The sequence below is a fragment of the Homo sapiens genome, chromosome 22, assembly GCF_000001405.40.
Source record: "Homo sapiens chromosome 22, GRCh38.p14 Primary Assembly".
Taxonomy (NCBI): Eukaryota; Metazoa; Chordata; class Mammalia; order Primates; family Hominidae; genus Homo; species Homo sapiens.
Window position 1 is genome coordinate 29,521,997 of NC_000022.11, and position 26,848 is coordinate 29,548,844.

The 26,848-nt window shown below is 45.6% G+C and overlaps 1 protein-coding gene across 11 annotated transcripts in view; it reads right to left on the reverse strand.

Annotated features, from left to right (window-relative positions):
• Window positions 1–26,848, reverse strand: part of THOC5 (THO complex subunit 5) — a 47,879-nt gene that overhangs the window by 16,118 nt on the left and 4,913 nt on the right. For 5 of the 11 annotated variants that reach the window (XM_005261797.2, XM_005261798.2, XM_005261799.2 and 2 more), the window contains 11 exons: window positions 22,464–22,607; window positions 21,433–21,546; window positions 20,863–20,960; window positions 17,334–17,480; window positions 14,628–14,742; window positions 9,835–9,967; window positions 9,082–9,114; window positions 7,166–7,243; window positions 6,430–6,470; window positions 6,082–6,181; window positions 3,842–3,950 (listed from right to left, as the gene is read on the reverse strand). In XM_005261797.2, coding sequence (XP_005261854.1) covers window positions 3,842–3,950; window positions 6,082–6,181; window positions 6,430–6,470; window positions 7,166–7,243; window positions 9,082–9,114; window positions 9,835–9,967; window positions 14,628–14,742; window positions 17,334–17,480; window positions 20,863–20,960; window positions 21,433–21,546; window positions 22,464–22,607 — 1,112 coding nt within the window. Of the gene's footprint in view, window positions 1–3,841; window positions 3,951–6,081; window positions 6,182–6,277; window positions 6,390–6,429; window positions 6,471–7,165; window positions 7,244–9,081; window positions 9,115–9,834; window positions 9,968–14,627; window positions 14,743–17,333; window positions 17,481–20,862; window positions 20,961–21,432; window positions 21,547–22,463; window positions 22,608–26,848 lie in introns of those variants that run through there. The other 6 variants (NM_003678.5, NM_001002877.2, XM_047441559.1 and 3 more) reach the window with 2 other exon arrangements.

Sequence of the window (26,848 nt, forward strand, 5' to 3'; positions counted from 1 at the left end):
TGTTCCCCAAGGTCTTTGCCCCCTTCACCACCTCAAATGGAGAACTGACTACCAAACAAATAAAACATTTCAGGCCAGGCACAGTGGCTCACGCCTGTAATCCCAGCACTTTGAGAGGCCGAGACGGGCGGATCATGAGGTCAGGAGATCGAGACCATCCTGGCTAACACGGTGAAACCCCGTCTCTGCTAAAAATACAAAAAAAAAAAAAAAATTAGCTGGGCATGGTGGCGGGCGCCTATAGTCCCAGCTACTTGGGAGGCTGAGGCAGGAGAATGGTGTGAACCCGGGAGACGGAGCTGGCAATAAGCCAAGATTGCACCACTGCACTCTAGCCTGGGTGACAGAGCGAGACTCTGTCTCAAAAAAATAAATAAAATAAAATAAAATAAAATAAAATAAAACTTTTCAGTCTTTTAGCAAGTGTTTAGGGACTATTACTAATAGATTGATTCAATCTATTAGTAAATAAATAAAACAGAACTAAAACTGCCCACGATGAAGGTTATTAATTGACAAAACCTGATGAAGGAATCACCTTCTTGGCAAAATTTATATCTGCAACATATGGCTAAGACAACTGAACTTGGTAAAAATGATGAACATAAAAGGAAAGGCTATTTATAGTCATAAAAATATAACACCAAAACAAAAAAACTTCTCAACCAGTCAAATCTTTGTTATAAAATTTTGATAAAAAGTAAGGGATTAAAAAAACCTTAGTGGCCGGGCGTGGTGGCTCACGCCTGTAATCCCAGCACTTTGGGAGGCCGAGGCGGGCAGATCATGAGGTCAAGAGATCGAGACCATCCTGGCCGAAATGGTGAAACCCCGTCTCTACTGAAAATACAAAAATTAGCCCAGCATGGTGGCACGCGCCTGTAGTCCCAGCTACTTGGGAGGCTGAGGCAGGAGAACTGCATGAACCCAGGAGGCGGAGGTTGCAGTGAGCTGAGATCGTACCACTGCACTCCAGCCTGGGCGACAGAGCGAGACTCTGTCTCAAGAAAAAAAGAAAACAAAAAACCAAACCATTAACTCTTAAGACTGGCCTGGCCAACATGGCAAAACCCCATCTCCACTAAAAATACAAAAATCAGCCAGGCGTGGTGGCGCATGCCTGTAATCCCAGCTACTCGAGAGGCTGAGGCAGGAGAATCACTTGAACCAGGGAGGTGGAGGTTGCAGTGAGTCAAGATCTCACCACTGCACTCCGGCCTGGGCGACACACAGAGACTCCTTCTCAAAATAAATAAATAAATAAATAAATAATAAAATAAAAACATTAACTCTGTCAGGGAGGATTTTTAAAAATTCTCTAATGAATTAATGGATCTAGGCAACAGTTGTCAAGACAGTAACATCACAAAAATAAAGAGAGCCTGTGCCTCTTGATGGAAGTATTCAACAACAGCCATGATACAGTCCTGCCCTCTACCCACCCCACCACCACAAAAAAATTTCGAAAACCTAATCTGATCAAGTCTCTAAGCCAACTCCCTGTTCACAAGAACACACAGGTAGAAAGACGAACACGTTTAACGATACCACAGGGACGCAGTCCTCAAAATCCAGACTAGGTAGAACCTACAGAGCAAACGACCCATTTTCTCCAACAAATACAAAGACGGTGGAAAGCCCAAGACAATGAATCTTAGGAGAAAACAAAAGAGATGGCAGGACCCTCTGATAAGATACTTGAAAGAAGCTTTGCTCATTGGCAATGTATGGGCCTTATAGTGATCCAGACTCAAAACACAAAACTATTAAAAAAAATTGTTTGTCTGAAAACTCCCTCCCCCAAAAAATATATGAAAAAAATCAGGGAAATTAGAATGATAGTATGAGATTCAAGAATTAGTGTGAGAATATACCCTTTATGTTTTAATAGATAAATCAATAAAACTGTATGCCAGGTTGCTGTCTTCATGTGGCCAAAGGCAGCCTGTATTTGAGCAAAGGCTTCTGGGCTGGGAGCCCAGAGTCTCGGGCTTTAGGTCCAGTGCTGCGATAATTGGTTGTATGCTCCCTGGACCTCAGTTTCTCTATTTGTAAAAGGAGGATGAGCTAGACAACACCTGAAGGCCTAAAAGACCTAATCCCAGTTTCACAGTGGCATCTCCTTTTATGTCTCCTCCCTGTTTGGGGGTCAGGGCCCACCTGGCTATGACAGCAGTGGTATACAGGTCTTGCTGACTTCGAATCATAATTCTCCACTCTCTACCTGTGACCTTGAGGCTACCCCTTAACTGTCCAGAGCCTCAGTTAACTCACCTCATAGAGCTATTGTGAAAGTTACAAGAGTCAATGATTATAAATCAGCTGTCCTTTACCAAGTGCTTCCTCTATGCTAAGCACTTGACCTGACTCTTCACAAGCACCCTGGGAGGGGATATTACAATTAACAACCACACAGCGAGGAAACAGATTCTGAGGCCAGGTATACAGCTTAGTGAAGAGCTGGAGTTGAGCATGCAATAAAGCCAGGCTGCAGCCCTGTTATTAGCATGTAGGGCACCTGAGAAATGAACAAGCAGAATGTTCATGATGAGCTCTACCACGATCTGGGGGCCCTGGAACTCCTCAATGAACTGAGAGCCCTGGACAGTGTAACTGGGTGCTCAGAAGCAAGCCCTGGGCTCCCTCTGCTGGGGTCAGATGGGAACAGGGGCAATTTCATCCAGAGCACCCCTGGGGGTGTCCAACAACACTCTCAGGCACAGCAGCCAAAGCTGCTATGGCCTGAAGGGGATGTGGACTCTAAGGGCAGTCTAAAACCCAAGAGACACCAGCATCATGGAGAACTGGCAGGGGTGGAAAGAGCCCTGCTCTACCAGGCACCAGAGCTGTACCTCCCTAAGCCTCAGTGGTCTTTCTGCAGCTGACAGTGGGACTAGGTCAGGGCAGTGCTCTTGTGAATGGAAGCTATTTCACCCTCAGCCCCGCATGACCCTTCTTCCCGCCCATGTTTGCAGAAGAAGAATGCCATGATTGGGCCAGGTATGGTGACTCATGCCTGGAATTCCAGCACTGTGAGAGGCAGAGACGGGAGGAGTGCTTGAGGCCAGGAGTTCAAGACCACCCTGGGCAACACAGCAAGACCCCGTTTCTATAAAATAAAAATAGAAAGTCAGCCAGGCATGGTGGCATGCACCTGTAGTCCTAGTTACTCAGGAGGCTGAGGTAGGAGGATCACTACAGCCCAGAAGTTTGAGGCCACAGTGAGCTATGATTATGCCATGGTCCTCCAGTCTGGGCAACATAGTGAGACTGTGTATCAACAAAAATAGAAATTAAAAAAAGAACACTGTAGTCAGGGCCTTCCTGGGGATGCGATGATGGCTGTCATTACTGTGCCTCTGCTCACTCTTCTCAAAACTTTCACAGGGACCCACCACAGTCCTCCCACCACCCAGATAAGGACATGGGCTTGGGCTGAGCTGGGGAGCAAAAATCCCAGCACCTTGGGATAGAAAGAGAAAAGGGAAAGAGTGGCCTGAATTTGGCAACCTAATAATGTCTGCCAAATCTCATTTTATATTCACACACTTTCCACTGGTAGCAAAAAGCTGGTGCTCTGCCCCACCTACTCAATTTGCAAATATGCTGTTGTCACTTTTATCATCTGCTGTGTAGTAAGAGGACTTCACAAATTAAAGTCAGAGAGTGCTTTCTAAATACCAGCGATGTGCCAGGACTTCTGGTCCATCTGGATACAAGACAAGTCAACACAGCCGTAGCCCTCTCCAGAGCCAGAGGGAGGAACCGAGAGCAGCCCCACAATGAGGCTCTCATCACCTCCCCATCCCGCACGTCATTGCCCAGAGCGCCTGCTCAATACCCTGCACTGATGGGGGTGATCAGCTCCATGGCAGTTGTCACTTTGGCTTTTACTGTCATGATGTTGAGGTTCATGAGGTAGTAGAAAGTCAGGTGAAGCACACTGTCATCTGGAGGGGAGGAAGATGAGAGAATTTATGAGTCAAAACACTCAGAGCAGAGTGAACAGAGTCATAGGGGGTAGTAAGGTGGGGGGGTCAAGTGTTGAAAAACTAACTACTAGGTATTATGCCCACTACCTAGGTGACGGGATCATTCATACCCCAAACCTCAGGACCACGCAAAATAGTGTAACAAATCGGCACATGTATCCCCAGAATCGAAAATAAAAGTTGAAATTATAACAAAAAAAGAAAAACAGAATTATAGAAAAATTCAGAGACTTTTACAATCATTTACTATAAAAACAAAATCGGCCAGGCGCGGTGGCTCACACCTGTAATCCCAGCACTCTGGGAGGCCAAGGTGGGCAGATCATGAAGTCAGGAGATCGAGACCATCCTGGCTAACACAGTGAAACCCCGTCTCTACTAAAAATACAAAAAATCAGTCGGGCGTGGTGGCGGGCACCTGTAGTCCCAGCTACTTGGGAGGCTGAGGCAGGAGAATGGTGTGAACCCAGGAGGTGGAGCTTGCAGTGAGCAGAGATCACGCCACTGCACTCCAGCCTGGGCAACAGAGCGAGACTCTGTCTCAAGAAAAAAAAAAATCACAACAGTAATATAATGAACAAAAAGAAGCAAGGAGAGCATCTACAAATTCTTTGCTACGCTTCCCACCAAGAGGTAGGGCTTAATTTCTCTGCCCTTGAGAGTGGGCTGGACTTAGTGACTCTGCTTCTAACAAATACAAGATGGAAAGGGAACCAAGCGATCAAGGTCAATATCAGCAGAAATAATACAGTGGCATCAGGTACTCCTGATATGACATGATAGCGACGACCTCATCTATGCTATTCTCTCCCCCAAATCCATAATCTCAGTCTAATCAAGGTCATGAAACACAAGGAAAGACTGAGACACTCACTGCCTAGAGCAGACTAAGGAGCATGGCAACTAAATGCACTTTGAGACCCTGGCTTGGATCTTGGGACAGAAAAAGGACATTAATTAAAAAAGGAAGAAACTAAAAAAATTCTGTCATTTTGTTAACAGTATTGGGCCAATGAAATTAAGAGTGGTGTGGATCGCTGTTAATCATACCATCTTTAATTAAGATGTAACTTTAGGGAAGCTGAATGAAGAGTATATAGGAACTCATGTTATTTTGGCAAGTCTTCTATGAGCCTAAAATTATCTCAAAGCCAGCCATGGTGGTGCACGCTTCCAGTCCTAGCTACTTAGGAGGCTGAGGCAGGAGGATCGTTTGAGCCCAGGGGTTCAAGACCAGCCTGGGCAACATGACAAAACCCCATCTCTACAAAAAATACAAAAATTAACTGGCATGATGGCACATGCCTGTAGCCCCCGCTACTTGGGAGGCTGATGTGGGAAGATCGATTGAGCCCAGGAGGTTGAAGTTGCAGTGAGCCGTGATCATGCCACTGTACTCCAGCCTGGATGACGAGAGTGAGACCCTATCTCTAAAAACAAACAAACAAACAAACAACCAGCAAAAAGAAAACCAGTGCGTAGAGCCTATTTCCATTTGTGTAAAAAATAAAGTGGGAAGCAGATAAATATACATTTGTATAAAAGCTTCCAGGTGCAAAGAATCTTTCTAAAAAATACATAAGAAGTCTGTAATAATGGTTGCCCTTGGAGGTGAGACCTAGGACTGGTATATAGGAACCTGTGGTGAGAGGGAAACTTAAATTTTACTGTTAGCTCTTCTACTGCTAGAACATTTTATTATATGGTACTTTTTCATACAAACCAACTTCAAAACATATACTCTGCAGAATACAAAGTTCTACTTACATTTATTAAACATGTTGGTCTTACTAAAAACCTGTATACTTTTGCAACTTGTTCTAGATATTTGACTTGCTAGATTCAGAAAGAGGTATAGTTTTCTCAAGCTTCTGCCTTATGTGACTGGAGTTTTGTTGCTATGTTGTTACGGTTATGATTTAACAAAAAGAAACAAAGTCCATGCAAAACAATAAGGAAAAACAAAGCAATATGAAATGGGAATCCTTTGTTGGGCAAATGGGTGTTTGGCTCCCGGACCCTCTGCACCTGCAGCTGGGTGAACTCTTAGGTGCTACAGATCCCTTAAACAAGGTGAGTGCAACCAGACCTTTGCACTTCAGGTCGAGCATGACAGACAGTGGGTGCCTCTTCAGCATCTCCTTGCGTTTGTCGTCCAACTGAACCCCCAGTGTGGGTCTCCGGCGCTTCTGGACAAAGGAAAGTGCCAAGCTGATGAGCATCAGTCATAGCAATCTCCCCTTCCCTCTCCCAACCAGCCAGGCCTCAGCCCTACTGCCTGGCACCTGCTGCTTCAGCTAGCTGGGTTGTCAGACTCCCCTCCCAGCAGCACCTTCTTTCACACCTCTTCTGCTTCTAGGGAGGACGGCACCTGCGAACAAGCATGCCCCAGTGCATGCAGCTGCTTGATGCCCCCACAAGAGGAAATGGTTCTCACCGTAGTCTGCTCCTCCTCGGCATCTGAGTCACTCTCGTCATCTGCAGCCACAGAGAGAAGGCAGCTAGAGGTGAGGGGGCTCCAAATGCTCCCTAAAGCACTCCAACCCACATGGCATAAAGGGGCCCTGACTCTGTCTTTTGTAAATAAGTTTCTCTGTAATAAATAATAAATTAACTTGCTGCTTCTTATTCAGTATACAAAACATGGTGATGAAAAAAGAAAAAAGAAGAATGACGTATAACTCATTTTTTTCAAAGGGCTTTTTGATGTCATTTAGATGGAACACAAGCCCCTCCTTGTGATGGTGGTGGTGGCTGTGGTAATAATAGTAACACAAATAATAATAATAGTAGTAGAAGCATGCATAACTTGAGGGGGTACTATGTGCTGAGAATTATGCTAAAGGCTGTATGTGCATTACCTTATTTAATCCACATAACAATCCTACATGAGGTGTTACTATCTGTTTTCACAAAGGAATAAACTGAGGCTCTGAAATATTAAATACCTTCCTCGGGGTCAGTCAGCTAGTGAGTGGCAGGGCTGAAATCCACGGGCCGCACCTTGTGACTCCGGGAAGTGAGCTCTCTTTCCTGTCTACTCCAGGGTGCTAAGACATTCAAGTCAAGCTTCCTGCTACACAGAACTAGTCCAGCTAGTTCTCCAAAGACCAGGACTGCCCTTGGATGGTGACCTGGTGTCCCTGGGGGACGAATCCCAACCACCACATTACCTTGGGAGTCCTCTGGAGGTTTGAACAGAGCCTTGGCTTCATCCACACTGCCTTCGATTGCCACAGATAACGTCTTATCTGGGGGGCAAGAAGAAGTCTGTTAGGAAAGCTGCTGAGGAAAGCTGCTAAGCAGTGTGAGTAGGCCAGCTCTGGGGCTGCATTTCTCCCACCTCTGCCCAGCTCCTTGCTGACTAAGGGTGGAAGGGCAAAAGTCCTTGCTCCAGATGAAGGGAAACAAGGTGGGACACTTAAGCTTTTTTTTCCGTCATTTACTGAGAACAGAGAACTTAAGTACAAATTCCTAAACCAGCATCACCTGAAACTAGCAGTGAATGCCTCTCTTTTTTGGTGCACACCAAAGCACAGAAATTCAAACTGAGGGCCTAAAGCCACATGGAACTCCTCTGCCAGTTGTCTTAGAGGTTCTCACCCAGAAATCCACACCTGTCCACATCCCAGAAACAATGACTCTCACCTAAGTGCTTATTCTCTATTCTACACTATACCAAGCACATGGCTGCCATTGTCTCACTTAACTGGGAGGCAGTAGGACAGTGAATAGGAACTTGGATCTTGCAGTCCAGTTCCAGACCTGAGTCCCTGCCTAACCAATTCTCAAACACATGACCTGGAAAGTTATGTCACTGTCTGAGCCTCAGTTTCTGTATCTATGAAAAGGGGACTTGAAAAATAGTAGCTGCCGGGTGCAGTGGCTCACACCTGTAATCTCAGCACTTTGGGAGGCCGAGGCAGGTGGATCACCTGAGGTCAGGAGTTCAGAGACCAGCCTGGCCAACATGGCAAAATCCCGTCTGTACTAAAAATACAAAAATTAGCTGTGTGTGGTGGCATGTGCCTGTAACCCCATCTACTTGGGAGGCTGAGACAGGAGAATTGCTTGAATCCAGGAGGTGGAGGTTACTGTGAACCAAGATCATGCTACTGCACTGCAGCCTGGGCAACAGAGTGAGACTCTGTCTCAAAAAAAAAAGAAAAAAGAAAAACAGTAGCTGCCCCATTAGTGGTGGGGACTGAATGAGCTGATGCTTGTAATTTTAATTATAAAATTATTAAAAATTAATTTTTAGGCTGGGTGTGGTGGCTCATGTCTGGTTGGGAGGCCAAGGTGAGTGGATCACCTGAGATCAGGAGTTCGAGACCAGCCTGGCCAACATGGTGAAACTCTGTCTCTACTAAATATATAAAAATTAGCCAGGCACGGTGGTGGGTGCCTGTAATCCCAGCTACTTGGGAGGCTGAGGCAGGGAGAATTGCTTGAACCTGGGAAGCAGAGGTTGCAGTGAGCCAAGATCATGCCACTGCACTCCAGCCTGGGCAACAGAGCCAGACTCCATCTCAAAAAAAAAAATTTTTTTTAATACTCACAACAACCCTACAGGAGTAATACATTATAGCCATTTATAGATGAGAAACTTAAGGCTCAGAGAAGCTAGACATCACAGCTATAAGGCTGATAAACCAGGATTCAAGACCAGGTCTGTTCAACTTAAGCTTGGCCTCTCCAGCACATGAGCTAACAGCCTGTTGCATACACCAGGTATGACACCTCATTGAGTGATGTCTTGAGACCCCCTCTGAGGGTCTAGCGTTGTGAGGTCAGACAGGCCACCACCGTCCAACTCCATTCTTAAGGGTACATATGGTCCCAAGAGCCTGAAACGGTTTGCCTAGCCACACTAAGGAGGGATGGCAAACTTCCCCCAAGTGGCTGACCACTGCCTTATCTATGGCAACCCTATGTGAATCACCACCCTTCACCCCAAGCAACTAGTTGCTCCCATCAAGCACTGGCAAACAACAGACTATTTTTTTCAGCCATTTAATATTAGCATTCTACAAGAACATCAGAATGGAACAGGCCGATTTTAAACATAAAAGAAAAGAAAATTACTCACCCTGTCTAGGGGGCTGGGAGGATTTCATATGAGCTGATGATGGAAACAGGAGGGAGAACAAAGGGGAGGGGAGGACCAGAAGGACGAGGAAGACACAAGAAGAGACAGTAATGTGTTGGTGCCCAAGGTGGGAGGAGAAGCAAGCACTGGTGCGGTGTATGTCTGTCTGATGAGGTGGGGTGGGGTGGGGGAGAAAATGTAGGTGCTGGGTGAAAGCTGCATTAGGGCAAAAGGCAGAGTCTCCAAAATTTTCTCAAAACCCTAGCAGAGTCACAGGCTGCCCTCAAGCTTAATGAGGACATATCATCTAACCTGGAAATTCACAACAAAGACATGCAGCCTGATTCAAGGCATGGTGAAAGCCTGGGAGAGCTGGCTGAGACCTGTATTCACCAGGCACCCCCACCCTGAAGCAGAGCAAGAGGCACTGATCTAACTGCCAAGCGTGCCTTGATGGGGTGAGCACCTGGGAGCCCAGACAGGCTGCCTGGGTTCTGCACCCAAGAGCTGTCCAGCCAGGCTCACGAATGACTCAAAGCCACCCATTGTGAAATACCCATCAGGTTAATCCAGCCTTAGGCCAGCTGGTCAGAGCAGCCATGCTGGGCAATGCAGAGGGAAGAAAGCTTCTGTCACCTGAGGGCTTCGGGCAGGACTGAGAAATTTCCTGAGCAGGTACTGCTTCCAACTGATTCACTCGGCCACAGCTGCTGCTCCCATAGCCCCTTGTCCTCACCCAGGCCCCATACTCACCACAGGCCTGCCCATACGCAGTGGCCTGAACAAAGAGGACATAGAGGGGAGGCGGCAGGTGTCTGGCTGTCTCATACTGCTTGTGAGCCTGGTCGAATGGCATAAACAGGTACTCCTGCACCGGAAGGGAAGCCTGCACACAAGAGACAGATTTTTGTTCTTCCTTTTTTAGCCAGTCCACACAGGAAAAAGTGGCTACTTAGTGACCGTAAATCATTATTTATAAAAGTGATACATGATAAACTAATAGAACTAATAGGTGGATAAAAGCTCAACGTAAACAAAATTATATTTCTTTATACTAGCAACAAACAGTAAGGAAATAAAATTGTTTTATTTTACCTACTGTCAGGGCACCCTGGCTCATGCCCATAGTCCCAGCACTTTGGGAGGCTGAGGCAGGAGGATCACTTGAGGCCAGGAGTTCAAGAGCAGCCTGGGTAACTTAGCGAGATGCCATTTCCACAAAAAATAAAAATCAATTTAAAAAAAGAAATTATAAAAAGATGCCATTTCAATACCATCAATAAAACATCAAATAAGAATAAACAGGCCGGGCATAGTGGCTCACGCCTGTAATCTCAGCACTTTGGGAGGCTGAGGCAGATGGATCACCTGAGGTCGGGAGATCAAGACCAGCCTGACGGACACAGAGAACCCCGTCTCTACTAAAAAAAATACAAAATTAGCTGGGCGTGGTGGCATATGCCTGTAATCCCAGCTACTCGGGAGGCTGAGGCAGGAGCATCACTTGAATCCAGGAAGTGGAGGTTGCGGTGAGCCGAGATCATGCCATTGCACTCCAGCCTGGGCAACAAGAGCAAAACTCTGTCTCAAAAAACAAACAAAAAATAATAAACAAGCAGGCTGGGTGCAGTGGCTCATGCCTGTAATCCCAGCACTTTGGGAGGCCGAGGCAGGTGGATCACCTGAGGTCAGGAGTTTGAGACCAGCCTGGCCAACATGGTGAAACCCAATCTCTGCTATAAATACAAAAATTGGCCAAGTGTGGGGGCACGCACCTGTAATCCCAGCTACTCCAGAGGCTGAGGCAGAAGAATTACTTGAACCTGGGAGACGGAGGTTGCAGTGAGCCAAGATTGTACCACTGCACTCCAGCCTGGGCAAGAGAGCAAGACCCTGCCTCAAAATAAAACAAAATAAAATAAACAAATGAAAGGCATATAAGCCTCTACACAAAAACCTGAGAAATGAAAAGTCTAAAATAAGTGGATACATGTGAATGTCAATGGCCTGGAAGACTCAAATATTGTCCAGGTAACAATTTATTCTAAAGTGGTCTGCAGATTCAATGCAATCCCTGTCAAAATCCCAGCAGGTGAAAACAGACAACCTGATTCTGAAACTTGTATGTAAATGCAAAGGGCCAAGAATAACCAAGACAATCCTGAAGAAATAGGTTGGAACTGTGCATCGAGACTTCTGATAAAGCCACAGTAAATAAGACAGTGTGATACTGTGCAAGGATGGACACAGAGATTATACACATATCCACATGTACAAAGACATTTGATTTGTAACAAAAGTGGCACTACAGAGCAGTGGAAAGAGAATGTCTTCAATAAATGGTCAGCTAAATACCTATGTGGAAAGAAAAAATGAATCTTTACCCTTAACTAACAAAATCACTTCCAGGATGACAACAGATTTAAATAGAAAGATTTCTTAAACAAGACACAAAAAAAGTACTAACCATAAAGGAAAAGAATAATTAGTAAAATTAGGAACATGCACTCATTAAAAGATACCATTAGCAAAGTGAAAAGGCAGGAGGTTACAGAATGGGGAAGACCTGGGAAAAAACTCATCTCCAGGCAACCCAACAGAAAACAGGCAAAAGACTTGCCTAGACCCATCACAAGAGGTTATCCAAAAGGCAAAATGTGCTGTGTTCAACATCACTAGTCCTCAGGGAAATAAAAATTAAAACTATAATGAGATACCCTCCAGAGTAGCCAAAATTAAGGAGACTGACAGTATAAAGTGTTGACAAGGATGTAAAACAATTAGAACTTGCATATGGTGCTGGTGGGAATTTCTGTAAATCGGTACAACCAGTTTAGAAAACTGTTTCAGTGTCTACAAAAGCTAAATATATGTATAACATACTGTATGACCTAGAATTTCATTCCTGGGTATATATTCAACAGACAGATGTACACATGTATGCCAAAACACATGTATAAGAATGCTCATAGCAGCATTATTGAAATGGCCCTAAACCGGAAACAACCAATTACTAAACATCAATGAAAACAAACTCTTGTACTCACAATAGCACAGATGAATCTTAGAAACATACTGCTGAACAAAAGAAGCCAGACATAGGAGTATATACTATGATTCTCTTTGTATAGAGTTCAAAAATAGGCAAAACTAACCTATGATGTTAAGATGTCAAGATTATGGTTACTGGGGTGTGAGGGAAGATAGGGACTGCGAGGGGGAATAAAGGAGCTTCCAGGAAATTGTTAATGTTCTTTCTCTGGGATTTTGGGTGCTGGTTATACAGATGTGTTTGCTTAGTGAATATTCATTGAGCCATACACTTGCGAGTTACATGCTTTTCTGTATAAAAAACTCTGTTTTAAAGTAATATATGGTACACTGTTTTTAAAAGTTGTATTCAAGACCTTAGGCAATGAATTCAGGTTTTGTTTCAGAGATTTTATTTGTGTGCTTTTCTTCTGTTTTTTTTTTTCTTTTTTTTCTTGACTCGGGAAAGACTGAACTAGATCGCCTTGAGTTTCAAGTTTGCAGATTCTGCACAGTGCATGAGGACCAATTGTACAATATATAAAGTAAAATAAAAAGCATTTTAGGCTGGGTGTGGTGGCTCACGCCTGTAATCCCAGCACTTTGGGAGGCCGAGGCGGGCAGATCACAAGGTCAGGAGATCGAGACCATCCTGGCTAACATGGTGAAACCCCGTCTCTACTAAAAATACAAAACAAAAAATTAGCTGGGCATGGTGGCAGGCGCTTGTAGTTCTAGCTACTCAGGAGGCTGAGGCAGGAGAATGGCGTGAACCCAGGAGGCAGAGCTTGCAGTGAGCCAAGATTGCGCCACTGCACTCCAGCCTGGGTGATAGAGCGAGACTCTGTCTCAAAAAAAAAAAAAAAAAAAAGCATTTTAGGCCGGGTGTGGGGGCTCATGCCTATAATCCCAGTACTTTGCCGAGGCAGGCAGATCACCTGAGGTTAGGAGTTCAAGACTAGCCTGGCCAACATGATGAAACCCCATCTCTACTAAAAATACAAAAATTAGCCAGGTGTGGTGGTGGGTGCCTGTAAACCCAGCTACTCAGGAGGCAGAGCAGGAGAATCACTTGAACCTGGGAGGCAGAGGTTGCAGTGAGCCGAGATGGCGCCACTCCACTCCAGCCTGTGCGACAGAGCAACTCTGTCTCCAAAAAAAAAAAAAAAAAAAGCATTTTAAAGTCATGGGGGGCGGTGGCAAAGGTGGGTAAGGAAAAGGAAAAAAAAAAAAAGTGGTATTCAAGTTTGTAAAACAAAAGCTCCCAGTTCCCAGTCCTCAAAGTAGCTGCTAATGGTCTGCTATGAATATAGACTTTTCCAAGCATATACCGCATATACCCAACTCCTACTTGTATATATCCCTACAGATACTTTGTAAACCAAGGTATAGAAATGAGTCCATACTATATGTTCTACAACTTGCATTTCTTATTTAATATGACAGATCTTCTTTCATATTTCAGTTATTCTGTCAGTGGTTCAAATATCAGTGGTTTGATTCCATACTTTCATCACAGCTCTAAGGCTGTACCATACAAGAATTTATTTAACCTGTACCCTATTTAAGGACATTTAGAAAATTTCCAGGTAACAAGAGAAAATTTAACCATGCAGAGGCTTTGGTTAAGTACAACCAAAACTTTTAATTTCTGCTCTATCACCCAGGCTGGAGCGATCCTCCTGCCTCAGCCTTCCAAGTAGCTGGGACGACAGGCACAGGCCACCATGCCCAGTTAATTTTTTTTTGTAGAGGCGGGGTCTCCCGATATTGCCCAGGCTGGTCTCAAACTCCTGGGCTCAAGTGATCCTCCCCCCTCAGCCACCCGAAGTGCTAGGATTACAGGCATGAGGCACCACAAGCAGTCAACAACTCTCCTTCTACGCTTACAGTTGAAGAAAGGAAATATAGATCTTGCCAAATCCTAAGAAGAAAAGCAAATTTATCTCTAGGATCCTTTTACAAAGTTCTTTCATATTAGCCATCTTGCTTCATAAAATTATAAGGATTTAGACCAAATCTGGCTTCGCAAAGCAAATAAAAAGTGGATCACCTATACAGAAAGACATTATGTTTTACAGGCGAAGTGTTGACTCTTCCTCATGAGTAAAGTTTTTTTCAGAGTGAGAAGATCTGCTGAGCAGTCTGACCCTGAAGCATGGTCGGGGGATCAAACAGACATCCACAGGAAGCAAGTTTAGATGCCTGGAGATTGTGAGGCCGGTGGGGGCCATGCAGGGGGTAAACTAAATTTACACAGTCTGAGAAAGTACGTTACCCAGAGAAGGCCTCTGGATGAAAACACCCAGGTCAATGTGTGTATATATTCCTGAGGCCAGCACTTCTTCCTCCCAGACACAAGCTTATCACACCAACTGGGTAGGGATGCAGACAAGGCCATCCTTATACTATACTCTAATTTAGGGTAATAGACCTGGCAAAGCCCAAAGGGTGACATGACTTCTGGCAGCGCCTGGTCAGTGGTGAAGGCAAAGCAAAAGGCCAGAGGGCCCCACCTGCATGATGCTGTTGAGGCGGGGCTGGAGGCTGCTCAGGTACTCCTTCTTCACCTCAATCTCCTTGAGAATCTTCTCCTTGTTAGATAGGCACTCTCGGTACTTCTCTGCCAGCCTGTTGGGGGAGGAAAGAGCATTGTCACCTGATATCCCCCAGTGATACCTCAACATGCCTGTTCACTGTCAGACTCCACCTAATAGTAGCAGCCATGATTAACTGCCAATGTTTATCCAGCACTCAATGTGTGCCAGGTACTTTGGTGAGCTCTTTAAAAGCATAATTACATTTAATACTTATAAAGACCCTGGAAGACAGGGACTTTGCTTATCCCCAAAGGAGGAAACCAAGGCTCAGGCAAGTAGATAACTTGCCCAAGGGCATCCAGCTAAGAACAAACACTGCGCTAGGCTTTGGATCCATGTCTCTTGCTCTCCAGAGGCTCTGTCTGCTCTGTAACCACTAGGGAATACACATGCCATCTTCTGCTCCATTTCTTGCTTGAGAGGTAAGACCTAAAACTTTCACAAACATGGACTTAGCAGCTATATAACCCAAAAGAGGCCCATGGACTGGCCTGGTTAGCACAGGGTGGGAACAGATTCTGGACCAGTGCCACAAGAATGCAGCACTGATGGCTGAGTCAGTGCCCAGCACAATCAGTGGACTGGACAGCGGAGTGACAGGTCAGCCCCATCTGCTAAGACACTGACACAAATTTCCTAAGAACCAGACTCGGCCGGGAATGGTGGCTCATGCCTGTAATTCCAGCACTTTGGGAGGCCCAGGCAGGCGGATCACCTGAGGTCAAGAGTTCGAGACCAGCCTGGCCAACATGGTGAAACCCGTCTCTACTAAAATACAAAAATTAGCTGGGCACAGTGACATGCGCCTGTAATCCCAGCTACTCAGGAGGCTGAGACAGGAGAATCGCTTAAACTGGGGAGGCGGAGGTGAAACCCCCAACTCTATTAAAAATACAAAAATTGGCCGGGCACAGTGGCTCACGCCTGTAATCCCAACACTTTGGGAAGCCGAGGCAGGTGAATCACGAGGTCAAGAGGTAGAGACCATCCTGGCCAACATGGTGAAACCCCGCTTCTACTAAAAATACAAAAATTAGCTGGGCGTGGTGGCACACGCCTTGTAGTCCCAGCTTCTCAGGAGGCTGAGGCAGGAGAATTGGTTGAACCAGGGAGGTGGAGGTTGCAGCAAGCCGAGATCACACCATTGCATTCCAGCCTGGGCGACAAGAGTGAAACTCTGTGTCAAAAAAATAAATAAATAAATAGATAAATAAATAAATAAACCTCTTTATTCATATAGAAAAGTTTATACCTAAAGTGTGACTTGAAGCATTATTTATTTATTTATTTTTTGAGACGGAGTCTCATTCTGTCGCCCAGGCTAGAGTGCAGTGGCGCAATCTCGGCTCACTGCAACCTCTGCCTCCCGGCTTCACGCCATTCTCCTGCCTCAGCCTCCTGAGTAGCTGGGACTACAGGCACCCGCCACCATGCCCGGCTAATTTTTTATATTTTTAGTAGAGACGGGGTTTCACCATGTTAGCCAGGATGGTCTCGATCTCCTGACCTTGTGATCCGCCTGCCTTGGCCTCCCAAAGTGCTGGGATTACAGACGTGAGCCACCTCGCCTGGCTGAAGCATTATTTATGACAGCAAAAAATGGAAACAACCTAAAATCCAACAGGGGAATAATTTTGTGCATTTTTCTATACACCAGAATATACACTAGAATGTTGCACAACCTCCTGAAATAGTGTTTACAAAGCTTTCTGCCATAGGCATACACTTACAGATAAGGGGAAAGGCAAATACAAAATTAGATTTATGGTACAAAAGATAAGGTCTTCGGCATTAAAATTTCAAGGAGAGACCAGGCATGGTAACTCACACCTGTAATCCCAGCACTTTGGGAGGCCAAGGTGGGAGGATCACTTGAAGCCAGGAATTCAAGACCAGCCTGGGTAACAGAGTGAGAACCCTGCTCTACAAAAATAAAAATATTAGCCAGGCATGGTGGCAGGCACCCATAGTCCTGGCTACTTGGGAGGCTGAGGCAGAAGGATCGCTTGAGCCCAGGAGGTCAAGGCTGAAGTGAGTCGTGATAGTGCCACAGCACTCCATCCTGAGCAATAGAGTGAAACGCCATCTCTTTGGAAAAAAAAAAAAAAAAAAAAAAAAAAGGGCCAGGCACAGTGGCTCACGTCTGTAATCCCAGCACTTTGGGAAGCCAAGGCAGGCAGATCACTTGAGGTCAGGAGTTTGAGATCAGCCTAGCCAACATGGTGAAACCCCATCTCTACAAAAAATACAAATAATAGATGGGCGTGGTGGTGCACACCTACCACCCAGCTACTCGGGAGGCTGAGGACTGAGAATCACTTGAACCTGGGAGGCAGAGGTTGCAGTGAACTGAGATCACACCACCGCACTCCAGCCTGGGAGACAGAGTGAGACTCCATCTCAAAAAAAAAAAAAAAAAAAAAACCCTTAAGCAATTATAACCCCAACCCCATCCATGATGAGGTTGGTGAAGTTTAAACTATCCAGTGTGATTTAATCATAAAATGGGATTTGGTCTTAGAAACTATTCTGAGAGTTGCACAGTGTTTTGCTGCCTTATCCTGGGTCATGACAAAGCACTGACACTTTGTGGTTAAAAGGTCAGGAAGGAGGAAATGCTACCTTTTCCGCTGCTCCAGCTCCCAGTCCAGACGTGCCAGTGTTTGCTGGTGAGGGTCTCCCATGGTGACTTCGGCCTTGCTGATATCTGGTGGAGCCTCCTTATAAAACTCCTCTAAACTGACCAGATCAATTTCTTCATGCTTTGACCTACAGACAAAAACATGACATCAAGCTGCTGTTCTCAGGAAACTAAACTGTAGTTTAAGCAGGCCCAAAGTTATCCCCAACATATGCCTGCTTAGTCCTGGTCTACAGGATCCTGGAATCCAGTCTTCTCCACAAATGCTCATTAGCAGATATTTCAGTGTGAAGAAAGGTAGTTGGTGACATGCCATAGGATCCTTATCCATGCTGTCCAACCTTTTTACCCATGAATTAAAGACTCGGAAGGGATTCTTATCAAATTTACAAATGTCTCCAAGCTGAGCAGGAGAACTACTAGCTAAAAAGTCAAGTAAAAACACTACAGCCTGGGCCTAGGCTGTAGGGTTGAAAGCAAGACATAATTTAACAGGAATAAATACAAGGGTCTGCACTTAAGTTCAAGACATTAGCCGCGTAAGAACAGAATGAGGAAGATCCAGCATGGGAGAACTGGATGGAAAAAGATCTAGAGGCTTAAACCGTTGCATGCATAGTGATTTATATGTATAAAAGAAAAGAAATTCTGCCAGGCGCGGTGGCTCACCCCTGTAATCCCAGCACCTTGGGAGGCCAAGGCAGGTGGATTACCTGAGGTCAGGAGTTCGAGACCAGCCTGATCAACAAGGTGAAACCCCGTCTCTACTAAAAATTAGCTGGGCGTGGTGACGCATGCCTGTAATCCCAGCTACTTAGGAGGCTGAGGCAGGAGAATCGCTCGAACCCAGGAGGCAGAGGTTGCGGTGAGCCAGGATTGCGCCATTGCACTCCAGCCTGGGAGACAGAGCGAGACTCCATCTCAAAAAAATCCAACCCTCTTTGCTGTATTAACATAGTTGACTGCTCAGGTTATGGTCAGATGACAGTAATGATAACGGCAGCTATCATATATTAATAAGCACCCACTATATGTCATCCTCACCTCATTTAAGCCTCACAACAACTCTAAGAGGTGGGGAGTTTTAATCTCCATTTTTTGACTGAGATGGAGGCTTCTATCAGTAAGCAGCTTGCCCAAGGTCCACAGCTAGGGAGTGGCCAAGCTGGGATTTGAACCCAGGCTGTGTAACTTCAAGGCCTATGCTCCTTCCATGTGGCCGTCTGCCTCCCAACAGGCGCAAGTTCCACTGTATTCTGGGTTTGTCAGTTTCCATTTGGGTGATGATTACAGACCAGTGCATCACATTATTTTGTTTTTGATACCTTTTTAATTTGGAAATAGTTTAAGACTCCAAGAAGTTTCAAAAATAATACTTAGAATGTATTTCCTCCATGTACCCTTCACCCAATGATACTATCTTATCTAACCACATTATACATTGTCAAAACCAGGAACTGACACTGGTACAATATTATTAACTCAAGTACAGACCTGATGCAGATTTCACCTCTATTCATATTTAACTATTGTTATGTGACGATTTTGTGGAACAGATAAAGATGCCTCTCAAAAATCAGCATCAGGGCTGGGCACAGTGGCTCATGCCTGTAATTCTAGCACTTTGGGAGGTCGAAATGGGTGCATCATCTGAAGTCAGGAGTTTGAGACCAGCCTGGCCAACATGGTGAAACCCTGTCTTTACTAAAAATACGAAAATTAGCTGGGTGTGGTGGCTCATGCATGCAATCGCTTGAACCCAGGAGGCAGAGGTTGCAATGAGCCAAGATCACGCCACCACACTCCAGCCTGGGCAACAGAGCGAGACTTTATCTTTAAAAAAAAAAGAAAAGAAAAGAAAAGAAAAAAATCAGCATCAGGCCAGGCTTGGTGGCTTACACCTTTAATCTTACCCTTTTGGGAGGCCAAGGCAGGTGGATCATTTGCAACCAGGAGTTTGAGACTAGCCCAGCATGGCAAAACCCTATCACTACTAAAAATACAAAAAATTAGCCAGGCATGGTGGTGCATGCCAATAGTCCCAGCTACTCAGGAGGCTGAAATGGGAGGATCATCTGAGCCAAGTCAAGTCAAGGCTGCAGTGAGCCAGGATTGTGCCACCACACCAGCCTGGGTGACAGGAGTGAGACCCTGTCTCAAAAAAAAAAAAAAAAAAAGACAAAAAACAAAACAATCAATCAGTATCATGATTATTAAAAATATTCCGGACCCACCGGGTGTGGTGGCTCACGCCTGTAATCCCAGCACTTTGGGAGGCTGAGGCAGGCGGATCATAAGATCAGGAGATCGAGACCATCCTGGCTAACACGGTGAAACCCTGTCTCTACTAAAAACACGAAATATTAGCCGGGCGTGGTGGCAAGCGCCTGTAGTCCCAGCTACTCGGGAGGCTGAGGCAGGAGAATGGCGTGAACCCGGGAGGCGGAGCTTGCAGTGAGCCGAGATCACGCCACTGCACTCCAGCCTGGGCGACAGAGCAAGACTCCATCTCCAAAAAAAAAAAAAAAAAAAAAAAAAAAAAAAAATATATATATATATATATATATATATATATCCTGGACCCAATGTCTAATAGGGCCCCTGCATATGTCAAGTTTGTTACAGATAAAAGCTGCTTTCAGTTTGCATAAACAGGTCTGATCAAGTGAGAACACTTCCCCTTCTCTTCCCGTTTACTCCTTCCTCCTTCTCATCTCTCAGCTTGGTTTTGAGGAAGGACACTGACAAACTGTAGTTTCTTCACCTGAAGGCAGCTAAGCAGCAAGAAATTCAGGTTCCAAAGAATAAAATCCATTTGCAGAAATGAACTGCTGGGACTACAGAAAGGAAAACTGGGCCAAAAGGTTAAAAGAATGTGACTGGAAGTGAGTTGCTCCCATACAACATGCCCAGAAATCAAACTGGTAATGTAAAGACCCCTGATAGGGAGAGAGACCTGCTTTTTACCAAGTGCAGAGCTCAAAACTCAAAAAGGTCAGAGAGACTTCTGAGGTTCTTTATGCAGCCTGAAATCACGGCTTGCAATTCTCCCACATTCACCCTTGCAATTTGCCCTTCTCCCAGATCCTACAGTTTTCTAAGCTCATCAGATTTCTTTTTAAAGAGAGACTTAGGCTGGGAGCGGTGGCTCACGCCTGTAATCCCAGCACTTTGGGAGGCCGAGGCGGGAGGACCACCTGAGGTCAGGAGTTCGAGAACAGCCTGGCCAACATGGCAAAACCCCGTCTCTACTAAAAATACAAAAATTAGCTGGATGTGGAGGTGGGCGCCTGCAATCCCAGCTACTCAGAAGGCTGAGGCAGGAGAATTGCTTGAACCCGGGAGGTGGAGGTTGCAGTGAGCTGAGATTGCGCCACTGCACTCCAGCCTGGGTGACAGGGCAAGACTCCGTCTCAAAAAAAAAAAAGAAACAGACTTACAGTGAGCTACATGGGAAAAAGCAGTTACCGAAAGACCACATGTGCCAAAGCCCTGTCCTCCCAAACTCACTTAAACTCCAAACATTTGGTGATCTCCTTCTGTAGGTGCATCACCTCATACAACAGGTTCTGGAGCTGCAGATGATAGGCATCTACTTTCTGCTTAGCCTGAAAGGAAAATACGATCAGAAGTGAGCAGGGCAAGTCAGGATGGAGCAGAGGAGAGGGTCAGCAAACTAAGAGAAGGTGTAAAGGGAATAAAGAAGGGGATGGGGCTGGGTGCAGTGGCTCACGCCTGTAATCCCAGCACTTTGGGAGGCCGAGGCGAGTGGATCACCTGAGCTCAGGAGTTCAAGACAAGCCTGGCCAACAAGGTGAAACCCCATCTCTACTAAAAAATACAAAAATTAGCCAGGCATGGTGGTGGGAGGTGCCTGTAATCCCAGCTACTTAGGAGGCTGAGGCAGGAGAATCGCTTGAAGCTGGGAGGCAGAGGATGTGGTGAGCTGAGATCGTGCCACTGCACTCTAGCCTGGGGGACAGAACGAGACTCTGTCTCAAAAAAAAAAAAAAAAAAAAAAAAAGAAGGGGATGGGGAGGAGGAAGGAGGAAGGTTAAAATTAAACCTTTTAACTACTACCTCGTGGGTCTGATCTCTTCCTTTCTTCAACCTGATGTGGGCTAATCGGTTAAGCTTCTTTAGAGTCATGAAATGCACACAGCTCTGGATCCTCCGTTCTTCTATTTCTATTGCCTGTGGGCAAAGAAAACAGTAAAGCCCACTGACGACAGGGCTAGCTCAGCTTCCTTCAGTCCTTCACCACTGACCCATCCTCATCTGGGGCCAAAAACGGCACCGGAGGGAGCTCAGAACCATGAGAAGGGTCATGAAGAAAATAAGAGGATGATTGTATAAGGAAAATGATTAAGAATCTCGGGCAAAAAAAAGTAATTTCTGCTTGGACTAGAGTAACAGGAATTGAAGATGGAATAAGGGCAGCAAAGGCACAATCTATCTCTACAGATCCTACACAGAGATCCCAGCAATAGTAACATCTTGTCATAAAATTTGACCTCTATAAATAACATTACAGGATAACTTAAATGGAAAATAACAGAATTATAGCCATAAAGCTTGGCTAGAATAGATTGAATGCAATAATTCTAACAAAACTTGTCAGCATAAGCACAAATACGTGAGATTCCTGGGGGAAAAAATGGATTTTAAAAAACTTATCTATCGAGTTTTTAGTCACATTGTTTAATTTCTCTGCCCCTAAAACCTCATTTATTCATTTACTATTAATGATAATTTCATTTTTGGTATCTACAATTTACTTGTACACATCCATCTTTGTATCAAGCAAATGTATAAGTACCATCATTTCTCAACACCTAGCAAAATGCCTGGCACTTAATAAATATTAATTGGATGAATGATCAAATTAGTAGGGAAAAAATTAATTATCCTGTACTTTCATTCCTGTAATTGGTGACTGAATGGTGATAAGAAGTTCCAATAAATTCACAGGTTTTGGGAGCCCTCAGGCTCCAATCACCTGATCATGGCTAGGACAGAAGATCAAGATCAGGAAGGGCCCTGGTAGGTGCAAAAACAGCCTCATCTATGTAAACCCACCAGGTTCACGGCCACCTGGTCCCACTCCTTACCACATCCTTGCCACCCCTGCTCTTCAGGTCTTGGATCTCAGCCATCAGCCTCTGTAGCTCCTGGCAGGTGTACTTGTATAACTCATAGTCTCTGCCAGGGTCCCGCAGATCCACCTCGGCCTCCTCACTGTAGTATTTACCTTCCTGTAGAGGTAAGGATAAAGGCTCTGTGTGCATGGGGTAAAAGTCTCCCTGCTGGGATCAGGGACACTTGGCTGACATCTCCTTTTAGATAAAAACAGTAACAATGAAGCCTCAGTCAGGTCTCTAAAAGATCTGGTCCTTAAATTAAATGCTTTTCTTCTCTTCAAAATAGAAACCTCTTTTGCTTTCTGATTGCAGAGTAATGCATGCCTGGTATCAAAGATTCAGAATATACAGAGGAGTATCAAAAAGAAAATGGAAAAATTGCCTATAATTTCGCCTCTCAGTCCGAAACTGAGTGAAGATTGTGGATAAATAAACATTTTATTTGTAAACAAAACGGGATCATACTGTCCGTGCTGTTAAGTGCAACTTCCCATCTGCATTAGTCCATTTTCACGCTGCCAATAAAGACACACCTGAAACTGGGAACAAAAAGAGGTTTAATTGGACTTACAGTCCCACATAGCTGGGGAGGCCTCAGAATCATGGCGAGAGGTGAAAGGCACTTCTTATGTGGCGGCGGCAAGAGAAAAATGAGGAGGAAGCAAAAGCAGAAACCCCTTATAAACCCATCAGATGTCGTGAGACTTATTCACTATCATGAGAATAGCACGGGAAAGACTGGCCCCCATGATGCAATTACCTCCCTCTGGGTCCCTCCCACAACATGTGGCAATTCTGGGAAATACAATTCAAGTTGAGATTTAAATCCCAAACCATATCATTCCGCCCCTGGCCCCTCCGAATCTCATGTCCTCACATTTCAAAACCAATCATGCCTTCCCAACAGTCGCCCAAAGTCTTAACTCATTTCAGCATTAACCCAAAAGTCCATAGTCCAAAATCTCATCTGAGACAAGGCAAGCCCCTTCCGCCTATGAGCCTGTAAAATCAAAAGCAAGCTAGTTACTTCGTAGATACAGTGGGGGTAAATATAGCCATTCCAAATGGGAGAAATTGGCCAAAACAAAGGCGTTACAGGGCCCATGCAAGACCAAAATCCAGTAGGGCAGTGAAATTTTAAAGCTCCAAAATTATCTCCTTTGACTCCAGGTCTCACATCCAGGTCAAGCTGATGCAAAAGGTGGCTTCCCATGGTCTTGGGCAGCTCCACCCCTGTGGCTTTGCAGGGTACAGTCTCCCTCCCTCCTGGCTGCTTTCATGGGCTGGCATTGAGTGTCTGCAGCTTTTTCAGGTGCATGGTGCAAGCCGTTCGTGGATCTACCATTCTAGGGTCTGAAGGGACGGTGGCCCTCTTCTCACAGCTCTACTAGGCAGTGCCTCAGTAGGGACTGTGTGGGGGCTCTGACCCCACATTTCCCTTCCACACTGCCCTAGCAGGGGTTCTCCATGAGCGCGCCAGCAGCAAACTTTTGCCTGGGCATCCAGGTGTTTCCGTACATCTTCTGAAATCCAGGCGGAGGTTCCCAAACCTCAATTCTTGACTTCTGTGCACCCACAGGCTTAACACCACTTGGAAGCTGCCAAAGCTTGGGGCTTCCACCCTCTGAGCCACAGGCCAAGCTCTAGATTGGCCCCTTTCAGCCATGCCTGGACTGGCTGGGACACAGGGCACCAAGTCCCTAGGCTGCATATAGCACAGGGACCCTGGGCCTGGCCCAGAAAACCACTTTTTCCTCCTGGGCCTCTGGGCCTGTGAGGGAAGGGGCTGCCGTGAGGTCTCTGACATGGCCTGGAGACGCTTTCCCCATGGTGTTAATCCCCCACGGGGATTAACATTAGGCTCCTTGCTACTTATGCAAATTTCTGCAACCAACTTGAATTTCTCCGCAAAAAATGGGTTTTTCTTTCCTTTTTTTATTTTTTATTTTTATTTTTTGAGACAGAGTCTCGGTCTTGTCGCCCAGGCTGGAGTGCAGTGGCATGATCTCAGTTCACTGCAACCTCTGCCTCCCAGGTTCAGGCAATTCTCCTGCCTCAGGCTTGGAGATTACAGTGGGTAGCTGGGATTACAGGCACCTGCCACCAGGCCCGGCTAATTTCTGTATTTTTAGTAGAGATGGGGTTTCACCATGTTGCCCAGGCTGGTCTCGAACTTCTGACCTCAAGTGATCCACCCAGCTCGGCCTCCCAAAGTGCTGGGATTACAAGCGTGAGCCACCGTGCCCAGCCGGGTTTTTCTTTTCTACTGTGTCATCAGGCTACAAATTTTCCAAACTTTTATGCTCTGTTTTCCTTTTAAAATGGAATGCTTTTAACAGTACCCAAGTCACTTCTTTTTTTTTTTTTTGAGACAAGGTCTTGCTCTTGTTGCTCAGGCTGGAGTGCAATGGCGCAATCTCAGCTCACTGCAACTTCTGCCTCCCGGGTTCAAGCGATTCTCCTGCCTCAGCCTCCCAAGTAGCTGGGATTACAGGGGCCCACCACCATGTCTGGCTAATTTTTATTGTATTTTTAGTAGAGATAGGGTTTTGCCATGTTGGCCAGGCTGGTCTCAAACTCCTGACCTCAAGTGGTTCACCTGCCTCGGCCTCCCAAAGTGCTAGGATTATAGGCGTGAGCCACTGCACATGGCCCTGTCACCTTTTGAATGGTTTGCTACTTAGAAATTTCCTCCACCAGATACCCTAAATCCTCTCTCTCAAGTTCAAAGTTCCACAAATCTCTAAGGCAGGGGCAAATGTTTTCAGTCTCTTTGCTAAAACACAAGAGTCACCTTTGCTGCAGTTTCCAATAAGTTCCTCATCTCCATCTGAGACCACCTCAGGCTGGACCTTATTGTTCATATCATTATCAACTTTTTTTTTTTTCTTTGAGATGGAGTCTCACTCTGTCACCCAGGCTGGAGTGCAGTGGCATGATCTTGGCTCACTGCAACCTCTGCCTCCTGGGTTCAAGCAATTCTCTGCCTCAGCCTCCCGAGTAGCTGGGATTACAGGCTACCGCCACCACGCCTGGCTAATTTGTTCGTATGTTTAGTAGAGACAGGGTTTCACCATCTTAGCCAGGCTGGTCTTTAACTCCTGACCTCGTGATCCACCTGCCTCAGACTCCCAAAGTGCTGGGATTACAGGCGTGAGCCACCATGTCCGGCCCATTATCAGCATTTTTGTCAAAGCCATTCAACAAGTCTCTAGGAGGTTCCAAACTTTCCCACATTTTCCTGTCTTCTTCCAAGCCCTCCAAACTGTTCCAACCTCTGCCTGTTACCCAGTGCCAAAGTCGCTTCCACATTTTCAGGTATCTTTTCAGCAAACCCCCACTCTACTGGTATGAATTTACTGGATTAGTTTATTTTCACGCTGCTGATAAAGACATACCTGAAATTGGGAACAAAAAGAGGTTTAATTGGACTTAACAGTTCCACATGGCTGGTGAGGCCTCAGGAACATGGCAGGAGGTGAAAGGCACTTTTTACATGGCGGCAGCAAAAGAAAAATGAGGAGGAAGCAAAAGCAGAAACCCCTGATGAGCGCATCAGATCTCATGAGGCTTATTCACTATAATAAGAACAGCATGGGAAAGACCGGCCCCCATGATTCAATTACCTCCTCGTAGGTCCCTCCCACAACACATGGCAATTCTGGGAGATACAATTCAAGTTGAGATTTGGGTGGGGACACGGCCAAACCATATGACCATCCCAGTAAATACAGATCTCAATCAAAATGGCTGCATGACAGTCTCCTATAGAGAGGAATTCCAGCTGGGTGCGGGGTGGCTCACACCTATAATCCCAATACCTTGGGAGGCCAAGGCAGGTAGATCACTTAAGCTCAGGAGTTTGAGACCAACCTGGGTAACGTGGCAAAACCTCATATCTACAAAAAATACAAAATTAGCTGGGCATGGTGGCGTGCAGCTGTGGTCCCAGCTACTTGGGAGACTGAGGTGGGAGGATCGCTTGAGCCCAGGAAATGCAGTCTGCAGTGAGCAGAAATCGTGCCACTGTACTCCGACGTGAGCGACACAGTGAGACCCTGTCTCAAAAAAAATTTTTTTTAAATAGCTAAGTCACAAATGAAGTTGACAGATTCAAGGACAGAGAAACAGACAAAAAGAAGAAAAGAACCTGACGACCACATGAGCTCTCAGGCCACAAAAGAGGTTCTGTGGGCACATGGTTCTGGTATTGTCTCAGCAGCACACCGAGGGATTCCTGAAGCTCCAGTGCCATGCTGCAGATGGACTACCTTCTTCTGACCATCAGGAAAACTGGAGACACATATCATACTGGAATACATTCTCTGGGTAGGTATAATCATGTCTAATACAGG